At 43.2% G+C, this 14,884-nt stretch overlaps 1 protein-coding gene and 1 long non-coding RNA gene across 2 annotated transcripts in view, besides 2 other annotated features; one reads left to right on the plus strand and one right to left on the minus strand.

Annotated features, from left to right (window-relative positions):
* Nucleotides 1-14,884, minus strand: part of PMFBP1 (polyamine modulated factor 1 binding protein 1) — a 133,293-nt gene that overhangs the window by 85,755 nt on the left and 32,654 nt on the right. The gene's annotated exons all lie outside the window — the stretch shown is intronic.
* Nucleotides 1,022-1,091: an enhancer, noted in NCBI's record as "active region_11094". NCBI's record gives its function as "activates an Ori minimal core promoter by ATAC-STARR-seq in GM12878 lymphoblastoid cells {active_cell/tissue: GM12878}" and the evidence as "EXISTENCE:reporter gene assay evidence [ECO:0000049][PMID:35858748]".
* Nucleotides 1,122-1,191: an enhancer, noted in NCBI's record as "active region_11095". NCBI's record gives its function as "activates an Ori minimal core promoter by ATAC-STARR-seq in GM12878 lymphoblastoid cells {active_cell/tissue: GM12878}" and the evidence as "EXISTENCE:reporter gene assay evidence [ECO:0000049][PMID:35858748]".
* Nucleotides 1,250-7,223, plus strand: LOC105371341 (uncharacterized). Its single transcript, XR_933729.4, has 3 exons — nt 1,250-1,359; nt 2,641-2,779; nt 3,950-7,223. It is a non-coding gene; the product is annotated as an uncharacterized LOC105371341 (long non-coding RNA).

The raw sequence follows: 14,884 nt of genomic DNA on the forward strand, positions 1-14,884 counted from the left end.
AAGCCATCCTTCCTCCTTGGCCTCCCAAAGTGCTGGGATTACAGGCGTGAGCCACTGAGCCTGGCCCTGACGTTTTTCTCTAACCATACTAAGAATTGAGCAATTTTCCTCCCTAGGTCCCACCCCGACACTGGTTAGACTAGTTTGCCTGTAGTGTGGTCTCTGCTGACATCAACACTTCATTGGGATAGGAAGTTGGCACATTATTGCAGAGTTCCCATTATTGCCCCGTAGGAGGCTGTCACTTCCCCAAACTGCACTAGCTCTGGTGCCAATCTCTCACTCACGCATCCTCCTCCTGACTGCTGGGAGCACACAGGCATGCTGCATGTCACCTGCTCCTCGGGCTTTTGACAATCTCCTTCCTTTGTTTCCAAATCCTAAGCAAATTGCTCGGTTGACAATCAAAGCCTACTAACATCAAACAGCTGCTATAGACAGGTGTGTTCTACAGTTACCTGCTGTTTGCTTTCCTCAGCAGGGACTGATATGACAAACAAAACCAAGAGCTGGGTGCCGACGTTCAGAGTCACTCCTGCAAGCTCAACCTAGTGTCTGTTTCTTTGGCTTCCCTGGTATTTTTCAGACTTGGAAATTCACCCTACCTGTGGCCTCCCTCAGTCCTACAGTGTGTGGCTGGCTAGGGTGTTGTAAAACCCTGCTGATTCTTGCAGTTCTTTGCAAAAAGCTAGGAATCACAGTGGCTGCATTGAAACAAAGAGGTTGCCCAGTTCTGGAATCTTTGGTTTATAAATGGCACCCAGTCTCCTTCAAATATTTTCCACTTTTCTTTCTTGTTAGTGCACTTATATGAGTGCTGTCTCCTGATTTCTGCTTTTAGCAGAAAATATCTCAGGTTCTCACCTTTGAAAGTTGCTCTAAACACCCTGGAGCATGTCTGGTCACTTAATCCCCCACCACTGGTGGGTAAGAGGGTGTGGTAGGTTGGAGGTGAAATGGATTTCCAACTTTCCAATGTTCCTTCCTATACTTTGGAGTCTGGAAAACTAGCAACCATTGTTTTCCACGTTCTTTTCTATTTTTCAGATGCGTTTGTCCCTGGGTCTCTGGATGTGATTTAAGTTCTGCCAGTCAGACGTGCCCAGATGAAATGTGGAAGGGGAAGTGAGTCAGAGCTCATGTTTTCTGGGGCTGCTGTTTCTCCGGCAGCACCATCATGGTTGTGTCAGGGTTTTCTGTGGCAAGTACGGATGGTGGCCACTTTCTAATTATATCACTTCCTGATCTTGGTGGCTTCCTGATCACCAACGAGGCAGCAGTTTCCTTGGTGCCCTGGTGTTCAAGCCACTCCTGAAAGCTCAATCTAGTGTCTGTTTCTTCAGCTCTCCTGGTAATTTTGTAAGTCATTTAATACCCTTCTTTCACTTGCTAGAGTGAATTCCCTATGACTTCCTTACGACTGACCCTTAATCAAAACAGAGGGCAATTGGGCTAGGACATTAATCCCCCACTGCTGAGCAGGGTGCACTGAGGTAATCAGTCAGTCAGCAGGGGTCCTACCTCAGCCTCAGGCTGGATGTTCCCAGGGAGGAGAGCCACCATTCTGCCAGGGAGGACCCTGTCTGCCTCTGTGCCACGCTCATGTCCTTCCCGCTGCTTGGGATAGTTTTTCTTCCACGTCTACGTTTCTCCTTTGAAAGCTACTCCTTTTCCCAAGCTGGAAGCAGATTTTTCTTGTCTGAACTCTGTGAGCACTCAGCATACTTCTCTTATGGTGAAATGATCACTTTCTTCTTGTGTTATTGTTACTCATGCGCATTTTTTTTTTTTTTTGAGACAGGGTCTTGCTCTGTTGCCCAGGCTGGAGTGCAGTGGCAGGATCTTGGCTCACTGCGGCCTCAACATCGTGGGCTCAAGTGATTCCTCTGCCTCAGCCTTTTGAGCTGCTGGGAATACTTTTACTTTATTTTTAGAGATGGGGCGTGCACCACCGCACGTTGCTAGTTTTTTGTGGAGATAGGGTTTTACTATGTTGCCCAGACTGGTCTCAAAACTCCTGGGCTCGAGCAATCTGCCTGCGTTGGCCTCCCAAAGTGCTGGGATTACAGGCGTGAGCCACCACACCTGGCCATTGTGCACATTTATCCCCTGAACCAAATGGGCAGTCCTTTAAGAGCAGGAGCACAGTCTGGATCATTTTGGCAGGTCCTGAGTATGTCAACCCTGGTGTGCCTTGTGTATTCAGGTACACGATGACATTCCTGAACGAATGAATGAGCAGAGGGAAGGATGTACAGGTAGCTGTGCTCCCTGGCTAGTACTTGATATACCATTTTTTATTTTCCTCCACGTGGATTTTGGGGGCCCTTCAAAGAACTCATGCCAGTTTAAATGATGGCACTGGAGTACCAGCACCACCCAACAAAACTTTCTGTGATGATGAAGATGTTCTATCTGTCCAGTGAGGTAGCCCTAGCCACGGGTGACTATTGAGCATTTGAAATGTGGCTAGTGTGACTGAGGAATGGAATTTTAAATTTTATTTAATTTGAATTAATTTAAATCCAAGCAGCCACTGTGGTTACTGGCTGCCATATTGGAGAGTGCGCCATCAAATCACATCCTAGCCTGGTGGGCACACAGGCCCTATGTACTAACTACTCATTCTGCCATGGACAGGATGACAGGCCAGGACACTCTGGATGCCATCCTCAGTGTGTCTAGGCTGTGACTCTGACTTTCTGGGCCAGGACCAGGGCCTTACAGTGCAGGAGAAAGACAGAGATGTGGAAGCTTCATGGGGAGGCTTTAAAAACAGGTGAGTAGCTCTCAAATACTCTTTTCCCTAATTTCTAAAAGCGATCTGCCTGCTTCTTGCACTCCAAAGCGCTGAAGCGTTGGTGTGGTGCTGTGGCAGCAAGAGGCAGCACGTCGCTAGAAGGGCGGTTGGCCTTGTGTTGAGCAGCCTCCTGCTACCGATTTTCCCTGAATGGACAGCTCCTTTTGGAGAGCATAATAAGTTTCTCATGAGGACATTTGTCCCGCTCTGTGGCATCTCCTACAGTAACCACGTGTGTGTCCAATTGCAGCTGGACAGCAAGAATGCAAACAACCCCTGTGAGCATCCTGGATTGCTGTGGGTAGGGTGACCCCAACACAGCCCAGGCCTGGCCACTTTGCTAGCTCTCCATACACATACAAAAGGGTATGATGCCAGGACAGAACTAGGATAATGATGCAAAGACAGAGCATGGCACACACACTTAGTGCACATACATGGTCACCTGGCTGCAGAGTGGCCTCCTTTCATGAGGTTCCTAGAGCACACATGCAGGGCCCTTTTGTTTATAGTCGTCTCTTCCATAGAGTTCTTGGAGATCATCAACCACACTTTGGTCCACTCTGCTGCACACTCATATTTTTATCCACAGAATTCAGCCCTGCCCATCACCCTTGATGCCCTTGGCATAACCTAAGCAGGTACGTTCTAGAAGCATCTAGATGGAGGCTCTGAGGGCCTCCATCTCTTCCTGTTCTACTGCTCTAGGGTCACCGTCTATGAAAGTGGAAGCTCCAAAGACAACAAACACACACACACAGAGCCAGAAAGAAACCTCACTGCTTTGTTTTGCTCCACTTAGGGCCCACTGAGAATGAATGAATGTCCTGACTAGATAATAGCTTGCTATTGGGAAATGGGCCAGGGGTCTGGGGAAGTGAGTGAGAGTGACTTGGGAAGGTCTGGCAGAGACAGGACAGAAGCAGAGGCATGAGTTAAAATGTACAGGTAGATCTGGGCTCACATTCTAGCTGTGAGCCTTGGGCAAATTTCTTGGTCTCTTTGAGCCTCTGTTTCATTTTATGGGTTGGTGAGAAGTTGAAATGAGATCATGCCTGTGACAGTCCTCATAGAATGTCTGACAATAGAATGAAAGGCACCTTCTGGTCAGGAGCCTCTGTGACCTGCACCTCTTTACAACTTTTGTAGGTGAGCCAAGATTTGGAGGAACCACTGGGATGCTCACTCGTGGCCATGACATCAGCATTCCAGGAGGGCAGCTCCACAGATAAGTCACTCCTGATACTGCTGGCAGCTCACCATCAGGAACAATGCACTGAAATGCATACGGCCTTTGTAATGCGCATTTACATTGATCTAACCACTTTCTGGGAAACTCACAACAGTCCATGGGTGTGATTATTGTTATTTCCATATTGCAGATGATGGAGCTAAGGCCCCAGGAGGTTAACTGACTTGCCCAAGGCCATATTGCCTGTATGTGATATAGCTGGGATTCAAATCCAGGTAGTTTGGTTTGAGAGTCCACACTGTTAATCATCGCTTCCCGGCGCACTGCTTTTAGCTGAACTCAACGTGCCAACGATTACCGTAGCTAAAAGTAACAATAGCAAAGGAGGCTAGGAAATGCTTACCTCCCTAAAAGTTTTATAGTGAACTTCATGTGAATCATGTTATCACCCAGACTGCACGTGATCTCAACATTTTAAAAATATGCCTGTAGAAAGGGGATTTTAAATTGGAAAAGATGAGTCCTTCCCATTACTTTATGTTTCAGAGTTGGAAGGAATACAAGCTTTCTGAGGAAGGCAGCGCTGTGGCTCCAATGGCCTGGAGCTCCATTTTGTCTCGGTAGCCACCCTGGAATGGTGGGTCAGATGGTAGAGAGGCTTAGAGGCTCAGTAAAGAAGTTTGGGCTTGGCACTGAGTCCCTGGAGATTTTCAAGTGGAGACAGATGGGATGAACTAATGTTCTGCTACAATCAGGCTGACAGTGCAGAGTGCAGGGTGAAGGGAGATGGAAGATGGAGAGGCCAATGAGAAGGCTGCTGCACATGAGGAGGAGGCTGGGCTAGGATTGAAGGAGAGGGAATGAAAAGATGGTGATGGCCTCAGAAATGAAAGGAAAAGCCACAGGGCTTGTGATTAATTGGATCCTGGGGTGGGAGAAGCAGACATGGAGGTTTTCAGCCAGAAGCAAGAGAATCAAGAAGAAAAAGGGATGGTTTTGAGAGAAACAATATTCAGACCCACTGAATTTTAGGAGAGATAGGGGCACTAAGTTGCAAGGCTAATAGGTAGTAGGAGATCTTGTGCTGGGACACAGAGAATAACTCAAGCTTGTGGTTTAGTAGAGAAATGGAAATTGCAGCATTGAGAATTAGAGGAGGTTGTGAGAGGAGGGCTGAGAACTAAGAGGTAACTCCAGCATCAACAAGGGTGAAGGTGGAGAGCCTCTCATAGAGCCTGGCAGGAAAACCACTGGTGACATTTGAGAGTACAGTCCAGGTTCCCCAGAGAAAGAGAACCAGTAGGGCATGTGTGTGTGTGTGTGTGTGTGTGTGTGTGTGCATATTGATATACACACACATATACATATATAAAGAAATTTATCATAAGAAATTGGCTCACATGAATATGAAGGCTAAGTCCCAAGATCTACAGTCAGCAAGAAGGAGACCCAGGAGAGTCAATGTGTAGTTCCAGTGAGAGTCCAAATACCTGAGCATAGTACAAATTTCAGTCCAAAAGCTAGCAGACTTAAGACCTAAGAAGAGCCAATGTTTCAGTACACATTTAAAGGTCAGAAAAAGCCAATGTCCCAGCTCAGATAGCCAGGCAGGAGAAGCTCCCTCTTGGCCTTTTTGGTCTGAATTTTTGGCCTTCCACTGATAGGGTGAGACCCACTCACATTAGGGAGGACAATCTGCTTTACTCAGTCCACCAATTCAAATGTTAAACTCATCCACAAACACCCTCATACACACACCCAAGATAATGTGTGGCCAAATGTCTGGGCACCCTGTAGCCCAATCGAGCTGATACATAAAATTCATCACCACAGTGCCATGAAGTTAGCTTGTGGAAGGCTAATGAAGAAATGTGTGGTAGGGAAAAGGATGCAGGAAGACACAGACGACCCACTTGAGAATGCTGTCAGCCAAAAGAAGCAGAAAAATCTGAATGGGCAGCAGGGTTACCCAACATTTCTTTACATGATAAAAGAGACCTTCTGACTTGATGCTTTTATGCTAATCCATGTAGACATTTGTTCTGTCATTCCTTTTCCCCCAGCTTATTAAATTGAATATATAATTTTCCATTCTAATTATATTTTCCCAAAGGTAACTTTAAAGTAGTTTGCATTTTTGGCAGGCATGCCAACTATTGGCAGAAGCAGGTGGCTCAGAAGGGCTCTGGGGCAAAGGAATAATCCAGTTCATAATCTAAAATGTGCTGTGGATAAAGATGCATGCCACTTACAAGGATATTATCAAAGTTAATTTTTCTGTGTGATTCGTGGCTTTTCAACATTGGTGCAGAAGAATGGATGTTTCCTGTCAGCGTCTTGACCGCCTTAGTGTTCACTTAAAAGAAATACAGGGAAGTACACCTTTCAGGCATTGGTGCGAGATGGGTCAGAAAGGAGCCAAAGAACCCGCAGTTGTGTCAGCTGGGGCAGGTGGTAAGTTGGCTGAGGCACAGTGACATGTCCTTGCATTGGTCCCCATCTGATCAGTGCAATGATCACAATGGAGGACTTGAGACTCTGCAGAATGTTAAGTGTAAAGAGTGATGAAATCCTTTTTGAGCGTGCAAACTGTTTGCTAGAATCCTAGTTCCATGTTTCACCAGCGTGGCTGCCTTTTCTCCACACACCTCCGCTCTTAGACAGATCCCACATAGCCAGTGGGCCTGGACACTCAGCCCCGGTGAGCCCTCTTCCTGGAAACCCCATATCTTCCATCACTTAGTCTCTTAAAGAAGAGCGTACAAATAGCCCTCAAATAGCGCTTGTGTCCAGAAAGCGACATGCACAGCATGCCTGTATCTCTACTCCAAGCATCCCAGGTAGGTTGGCTTTGCATGATATGTAAGTTGCTGCCAAACATGCCCATTAGCTGTCATTTCTCACTGACTTCACTGTTTTCTTACTTTTATTTTAAAGGTCATCTCTGTATTTCCAGTTGAGACCCACTTATTAATTTACAATGATACTGTACATATATTTTCAGTTATTATATATTGTTATCATATATAGTTATCTATATATCATTTTGTATATAGATATCTGTATATATGATATTATCTGTATATATTATCCATGCATGTACTATCTGTATATATGTATATATAACTGTATATCATATTCTTAAATATACATTGTCATCATAATATATGTAAAATTCAATATATGGAGACATCTATCTTCTCAATTTTTTCTAAAATATAATAACAAATTATACTCAAATAATCTAACCAGAGCATTTATTAAGTACCCATGTGCTCAGTATTAGTTTAAGCCCCATGGGATACAGAACAAATACAAGACATAATATTGACCCTCAGGTTGACCACACACAAGCTGGGAAACGAGACCCATACACGAGAAGTGACAATGAACTCTGACAATGAACTCTCCTGGCTATTTGGCCATGGGAGGCACATGCAGAAGATGGAAAGGCAGCAGGGCATGTTTTCCCTGTTCTTACCCTGCTTCAGCCTCTCTGGGAAGGTCACATCCTTCTCTGACTACAGCCACTGCTGGGCCGTTCCCCCAGCTCTCACTGGCTCTGGTCCTTCCATTGTTCCTTTCACCCTATGGGTAGTAACAGCTTCCTGGTGTTGTTAGTCTTTGGGCACCTTTCCTTGCTTGTTCTCATACCCCTGTCTATTCCTCTGTCAGTAGCCCCTTCCTTAAATTCCATCCACCTGTACCATTAGGAGTGAATTCTGTTTCCTCCTGGGACTCTGACGGATGCAGCGAAACTTACGAAGTTGCAGGTAGGGGGTTGCTTCACTTGTTGGTAAAGATTTTAATGTGTCAACCAGAACAAATACTTGTTTGATAAAGGAGAAAGGAGTTGGCCTTCCCCAGCAGGAGAGTAGGAGGAGCTTTGAAAGCAGACAGATGACTTATAGAGAGCAAAAGCAAGGGCTTGAAGTGAACAAGTTGGCATTTTGGTGTAGACAAGTCTGATCTGTACAGCTAATTTTTAGACTTTAAAAAGTTAAATGAATCCTTCCTGGAGGCTTATGCTTCCTGTCCTGTCACTTGTTTGAAGAGAGAGCTACATCAAAGCCCCAGGCACCAGAATTCCCCAGAACCCAAACTTCACAGTCCTGCTGGGGGACACCTCAGATCCCCAATTAGGAGGATGGAGTGCAGGTGAGCAAGGAACCCCCTCCTGCTTTAATTACTCCTGGCATAATATTCTTTTTCAAGCTTTGCTAATTGAAATTAAACAGCTGCCACATTTGGACAGGGACAAAAAAGAATCAATTTTTCAGCTTTCTCTGATGTAATAGAGACTGACAGGCTATGAGGAAAACAGGGGCAATTTCCCTCCCACGGCTACTGGGTCACCAGTGGTTGACTCAAAGCAAAACACAGTGTTGAGGTGAAGTCTTCCCTAGTACAGTAAGAGTGATGCTAGCCAGGGGTTCTCAGGACAAATGACACATTAAGTTCGTCTCATGGCCACCTTTACTAAAATGATCCAGTAGCCGACTCTTTTGTAGCCCAAGATTACCAAGATCTTCCATATGCCAGAAGGGGCTAGAAATAGTCCCCTGCCAAGTGGATTCTTTGCTAGGTAAGTTCTTTAACAGTTGGTGAAGGGTGGCAAGGGATGGTTTTATCACCTTAGAGGACAGATTAGTAAAGGGAAGGTGAAGGAAAAGAGATTCTACAATGCACTTAAGGGTGTGCTAGGTGCTTTCAGAGAAGTTGTCTTTGTCAGGCCCTATGGCAACATAGGGACTTAGGTCTTATGAAACAAACTAGACTTGGAGCTTGGGGGCTTAGGTCTGTGTGTGGTGAGTGTGATATGGTCAAAAGGCTTGGATAAAAATCAGTGACCAGAACAGTTGGCCTTCCTCCCACCTCCCAGACTCAGTGCACAGAACACCAGAGGCAAGGCATCTGTCCCCCAGGCAGAAAACCAGAAGTTTCTTCTCTGAATAAACTAGATGGCCCTAGGGACTAAACTTCCCCATACAAACATTCTCTACTTAATAACCTTAAAGTGAAGCCTGTTAGTTGGCAAGTCCTGCTCCCACTCCCAAAGAAAATGCTCCCTGTTTAGAATCTCACATTTAAATACAGTGACAGGCAAGGATTTTTGAGGAAAACCTCTGAATGAAAGGAAACAAAAATAGACAAACAGAAAGAGAAATAATGCAGAGAACAGAAAATAAACTTAAAAAAGAAAAAAACCTTCTAGTTCATATCTTTAGAGAGATTTGAGAAGATGTTATGCAAAGAGAACAATTGGAGAATAAGAAAGAATTCTTAGAATTTAAAAATAGAATTTCTAGGGCCCGGCATAGTGGCTCATGCCTGTAATCCCAGCAATTTGGGAGGCTGAGGTGGTTAGACTGCTTGAGCTCAGGAGTTCGAGAGCAGTGTAGGCAATGTGGTGAAACCTTGTTTCTACAAAAAATACAAAAAAATTAGCTGGGTATGGTGGTGTGCACCTGTAGTCCCAGCTACTAGAGAGGCTGAAGTGGGAGGACTGCTTGAGCCTGGGAGGCAGAGGTTGCAGTGAGCTGAGATCCTGCCACTGCACTTCAGTCTGGGCAAGATAGTGAGACCTTGTATCAAAAAATTTTTTTTTCTAAAATTAAAAAAAAAGTGGTAAAATAGTTGGAAGGTAACATCAAGAAAATCTCCCAGAAATTATAGCAAGATGTAATAGAAAATAGGAAGCAAACAAGTGAGAAAGCAGGATGGAAGCCAGAGTCTTTTTAAACCCTCATATTGGAAGGAACACCCTATCACTTTTATCATATTTTATTTATTAGAAGGTCCAGCTCAAGAGGAGGGGATTATAGAAGAAAGGACTACGGGGAGTCTGAGATCACTAGAAGTCTCTTTAGAAGATGCCTACCACATCTTCAAGAAAATCTCCCAGAAATTATAGCAAGATGTAATAGAAAATAAGAGAGAACAGATAAGATATATAGAGGATAAACCTGTCTAGAAGAGGTTGGCAATGAATGGTACATGTGCCAAATCCAGCCTGTGGCCTGTTTCTATGTGTTCTTTAAGCTATGAGTGCTTTTAAAATTTGTAACGGGTTGTATTGGAAAAAAAAAAAAAAAAGGAAGAAGATGTGACAGACCACATGTGGCTCACCAAGCCTGAAACGTTTACTCTCTGGCCCTTTACCAAAAAACTTGCTTACTCCTGTTCTAGCAGGTCCAACATCCAACTGATAGGAATTCTAGAAAAAGAGAAGAGATAAGCGGACACATGAAATTATCAAAGAAAATATACAAGAACGATTACCAAAATGTAAGGACATGAATCTCAGGCTGAAAAGGTGAATGGGTATCCAGCACAATAAATGAAGACTGAGCCTTAACTCGATTACATCACTGTAAAATTTCAGAACATCTGGGGTTAAAAAAAAGATCCTGAAAGTTTCCAGCGGGGATAAAAACAGGTCACTTACAGTCGAATGAAAAATCAGACATCTTAATAGCTGTATTTCATGCTAGAAGAAAATGGAGCAACACCTTACACATTCTGATGGAAAGTAATTTTTAGCCTTGAATTTTATATCTGTCCAAATGTTAGGGAATATCAATATAACGACATTTCAGACTCGAAAAGACTTAGAACATTTATCTTCACAGTATCTTTAGCTGACAGCACTTGCTACAGATGTGCTCTCCTAAAATGAGAGACAGTAAACCAAGAAAGGAGACCATGGGGTCCAGGAAACAGACATCAACTTAAGAAAGTGGTGAAGGAAACTCTCACTAGAGATTAACTGGTCCAGATTACAGCAAGAGCCCGGGGGGGGGTGGGGAAAGGGTGTGGTAGGCATTGTCTAAAGAGACTTCTAGTGATCTCAGACTCCCCGTAGTCCTTTCTTCTATAATCCCCTCCTCTTGAGCTGGACTTAGTGACTTGCTTCTAATACATGGAATATGATAAAAATGATAGGGTGTTCCTTCCAATATGAGGATTTAAAAAGACTCTGGCTTCCATCCTGCTCTCTCACTTGCTTGCTCTGATGAAGCCAGCCGTCAAGTTGTGAGCTGCCCTGTGGAGAGGCCCATGTGACAAGAAACCAAGGGAGGGCCTAGCCAAAGCCTTTGAGAAACTAATCCTGCCAACAATCACTGGAGTGGGCTTGGAAGTAGATCTTCTCCTGGTTGAACTTTGAGAGGACTACAGTCCTAGCTGACACCTTAATCGCATCCTTGTGAGACATCCTGAGTTAGAGGACCCAGCTAATCCAAGTCTGGTTATTTTCCCACAGAAATTGTAAGATAATAAATACTCATTGTTTTAAGCTGCAATGTTTTGGGGACAATTTGTCACACAGTGATAGATAACTAATACAAAAAAGTTGAGCGAAAACTGATATGATGGAATCTTTTGGGGAAGAGATCAAGGATTAGTAGGTAGCAAATTTTACACATAAACAGCAAATGGAAACTTACAGAAAATTCCAAAGTTGCACTGGAAAGAAAACGCAATCATAGTTCACTACTTGGCTCCACAGTGAACAGTATTAACATAATCATCCTGTTGTAAATATTGAATATATAACTGAAACAAGGAGTGATAGGTGGAATGAGATAACTATGTTCTCATTTATCATAATATGCAGTCACTGAATAATTTTTAACATCACAAAAAAATTACCAGTATAAATATGTTGTGTATAAGTGTGGAGGTAACTATCAGAAGAAACAGCTAGAAGAGTTGAAAGTGGTTGCCCTTGCAGAGCAGAACTAGGACAGTACATGGGGGACAGGTAGAAAGGAGTCTCTTGTTCTTCATTATAAGTTTTTTTTTTTTGAGATGGAGTCTTGCTCCATCGCCCAGGCTGGAGTGCAGTGGCACAATCTCGGCTCACTGCAACCTCTGCCTCCCGGGTTCACACCATTCTCCTGCCTCAGCCTCCCGAGTAACTGGGACTACAGGCTAATTTTTGGTATTTTTAGTAGAGACGGGGTTTTGCCACGTTAGCCAGGATGGTCTCGATCCTCTGACATTGTGATCCACCCGCCTCAGCTTCCCAAAGTGCTGGGATTACAGGCGTGAGCCACTGCGTGGAGCCACTGCTCCAAGCACAGGGTAGAAGGAACGATGAGAAATTAGTATTCCTAATGTATGTGAGGCCAAATTCCATTACTAATCATGCTTTATGGAAATTCAGTGTCTAGAAACAGTCATAAAAATTGGTCTGGAATGTTTGAATCCTGTAGAGTTCCCAGCATAATGATGGAAATGCATAATAAAGACACATTCACAATACAGAGCATGTGTAGGACCCCACAAAAGATAACTTCTAGCAAAATAGGCTAATTGACTATGTGACAAAACACAGGAATAAATCCAACATTATAAGAGATGTCAGCAGGTACATCAAAAGGGAGAAATCATATCAAAGAACTCATGGAAATTAGAGGAATATAAAAGGGACTTTAGCAATGTATCTAAAAGGTTCAAAAAGATAATGAAAGGAATGGAAAACTTAAGGTAAGATTAGGGCATCATAAAAAAGAAAGGCCCAATATACATTGAAAAAAATTTATAAATTCCAGAAATAAAAATCAGTCCTTGAGATATACCTTCAGTGGTGGGTGAAAAAGATTAGACATGGCTGAAGTGAGAATGAGCAAACTGGAAGAGAGACCAAAGGAAATAATAAAAAATACTATACAGTGAGGTAAATGTACAATGTGAAAGAGAAGTAATGAGAAATCCCAGAATGAAACCTGCCAATGCATGTCTAACAGAAATTCCAGAAAAAGAAAACTGAGAGACTGGAGAAGAACCAATATTTGAGAAAATAGAAGTTCCAAAATTGAAGGAGGACATGAGCCCTTAAATTAAAGAAGCATACAGAGTCCCAAACATGACAAAACAAAGAGAAATAAATCCAGACCTAGACACAGTGTAGTGAAGCACAGAAAGGTAAGGTAATAAATGCTTCCAGAGAGAGAGAGAGAAAAAAAAAACAAACAAGATTGTTTACAAAAGAATAGCCATTAGTCTGACAGCTAACTTTGGTCAGGATAATCATATCAGAAGATAATAGAACAACCTTCAAAATTCTTAGGGAAAATAATTGACAACCCTGAATTTTATACCCAACTAAATAATAATTCAAAAGTGAGGTTGTATAAGACATTTCCAGACATATAAAGATGAAGAGTTTACTTGTCTTAGACCCTTGCAGAAAGAATGAATAGAGGAAATAGTTTCAAGAAGGCAAATTATACCAGAAGAGAAGAGGACACAGGAGGCAACAGTGAACAAAGTAGGTGAAACATGTTGGCTAATTAAGTAAGTACTCCCTGTAAAAACACACAAAAACTAACCACTCATCCACCCAACAACAACAAAAAACTCTCATTTGGCTCATACAAAAGGTTGGTGAAACTACAATACTAGAAAATCCTAATAGGGAAGATGGGTGGAAGAAGTTAGGAGGGAAGTTCAGGCATTTTAAGATCTTTGTTTTTGTCAGGAAGAGGATAAATATACTAACTACCTTTACCCCCTTTGGGTGTATATAGATGCTACTGTTCACCAATCTCTCTCTTCTTCTTCCTTTCTCTTCTTTCTACACTACCAAAGCACATATGCTATCTTGCATGTAAGTGGGATCATGTGACTGAGTCCCGGCCAATGGCCCATGGGATGGAGGTGGGATATACCCCTTCCAGGCCCGGCCCCTAAAGTACACCATGTGGGCCTCCTTGCTCTTTCTTTGCTTGTTGGTCAGCTGAGTGTTGAGGGCTCTGAGGAAACCCCAGGGGACATGGAACTACTGGGTGGAAGAATCCTCTATCCCAGAATCATTACTTAGAGGAGAGCTGCCCTACGACAAGAATCTGGATGAACTTTCCATTAGGCAGAAATGATTTTATTGTGTTAAGCTGCTAGAATTTCTTTGTCATCACAGCTTAGCCTATCCTATTTGATTAATACAGAAATGGAAGTGAAACAATGCCATAATAAAAACCAAAAATATGTGGCATTGGTTTAATGGTCAGGCAGTGAGTGACAAGGACACCATCAGCAGCAGACGGAAAGAAAAGAACCAGAACATGCAGCAGTAAAACTGTCACCTGTGGTAACACACTAGATATAAGGTCTCCTCTCAAGTTGGCGGCTCTAGAGGAGTCTAGAAAGCAGACTATTAGTAATGTGTGTTGGTTTTTATTGGCAGCCTTTGCTAAGCTATTAAGGAGATAAACTCAGGAGAGAATTAGCAGGTTTGTAAACAGAAATAAATGGGAATGCAAAGAGTCCAGACATTTGCAGAGTCAAAGGGTTGAAAAAACTTACTGCTTCCAGCAGAGCATAAATGACAAAGGCCCAGAGAAACAAGCAGAGATCTGCCCCATAGGATTCCAGCATTTGTTAAGAGTGGCTTCAGTGTACCCCCTTTTTGTTCCTTTTCTGACAGGGAATTTGTAATTGCAATTATTGCAGGCAGCTTGCTTCGCTGCAGTATAAGTAGTAGTGAAGCGAGAAAGGGAGGAAAGATAACTTCTTTTAGTTCATTGGGTGCCACGCCAAGAAGAGTCACATGATAGATCTTTGCATCATCCAGAGACCCCGGACTCTGAGCTGGAATGAAGTGACTGGACAGGACTTTGAGTTGTTTTCCCTGGGCAGAGATGAGTGTGTCCTATACGTGGTTCTCTCTTTCTTGGACACACAGCTAATCTAATTGCTCTCTAGTCCGTGCATCTAGGTGAAGCCACATGATTGAGTTCTGGCCAATGAAGCATAAGAAGAGGGAAGGGTATGCTGGTAAGGGTTTAACAACTGACCCTCCAGAAAAGACATATGCATATGTACTTGAATTTATGATAAATTTGCTAATATAAGGGTTGCACAGCAAGTTATTTATAATTAATAAT

This window comes from Homo sapiens, chromosome 16, assembly GCF_000001405.40.
Source record: "Homo sapiens chromosome 16, GRCh38.p14 Primary Assembly".
NCBI classification, from domain to species: domain Eukaryota; kingdom Metazoa; phylum Chordata; class Mammalia; order Primates; family Hominidae; genus Homo; species Homo sapiens.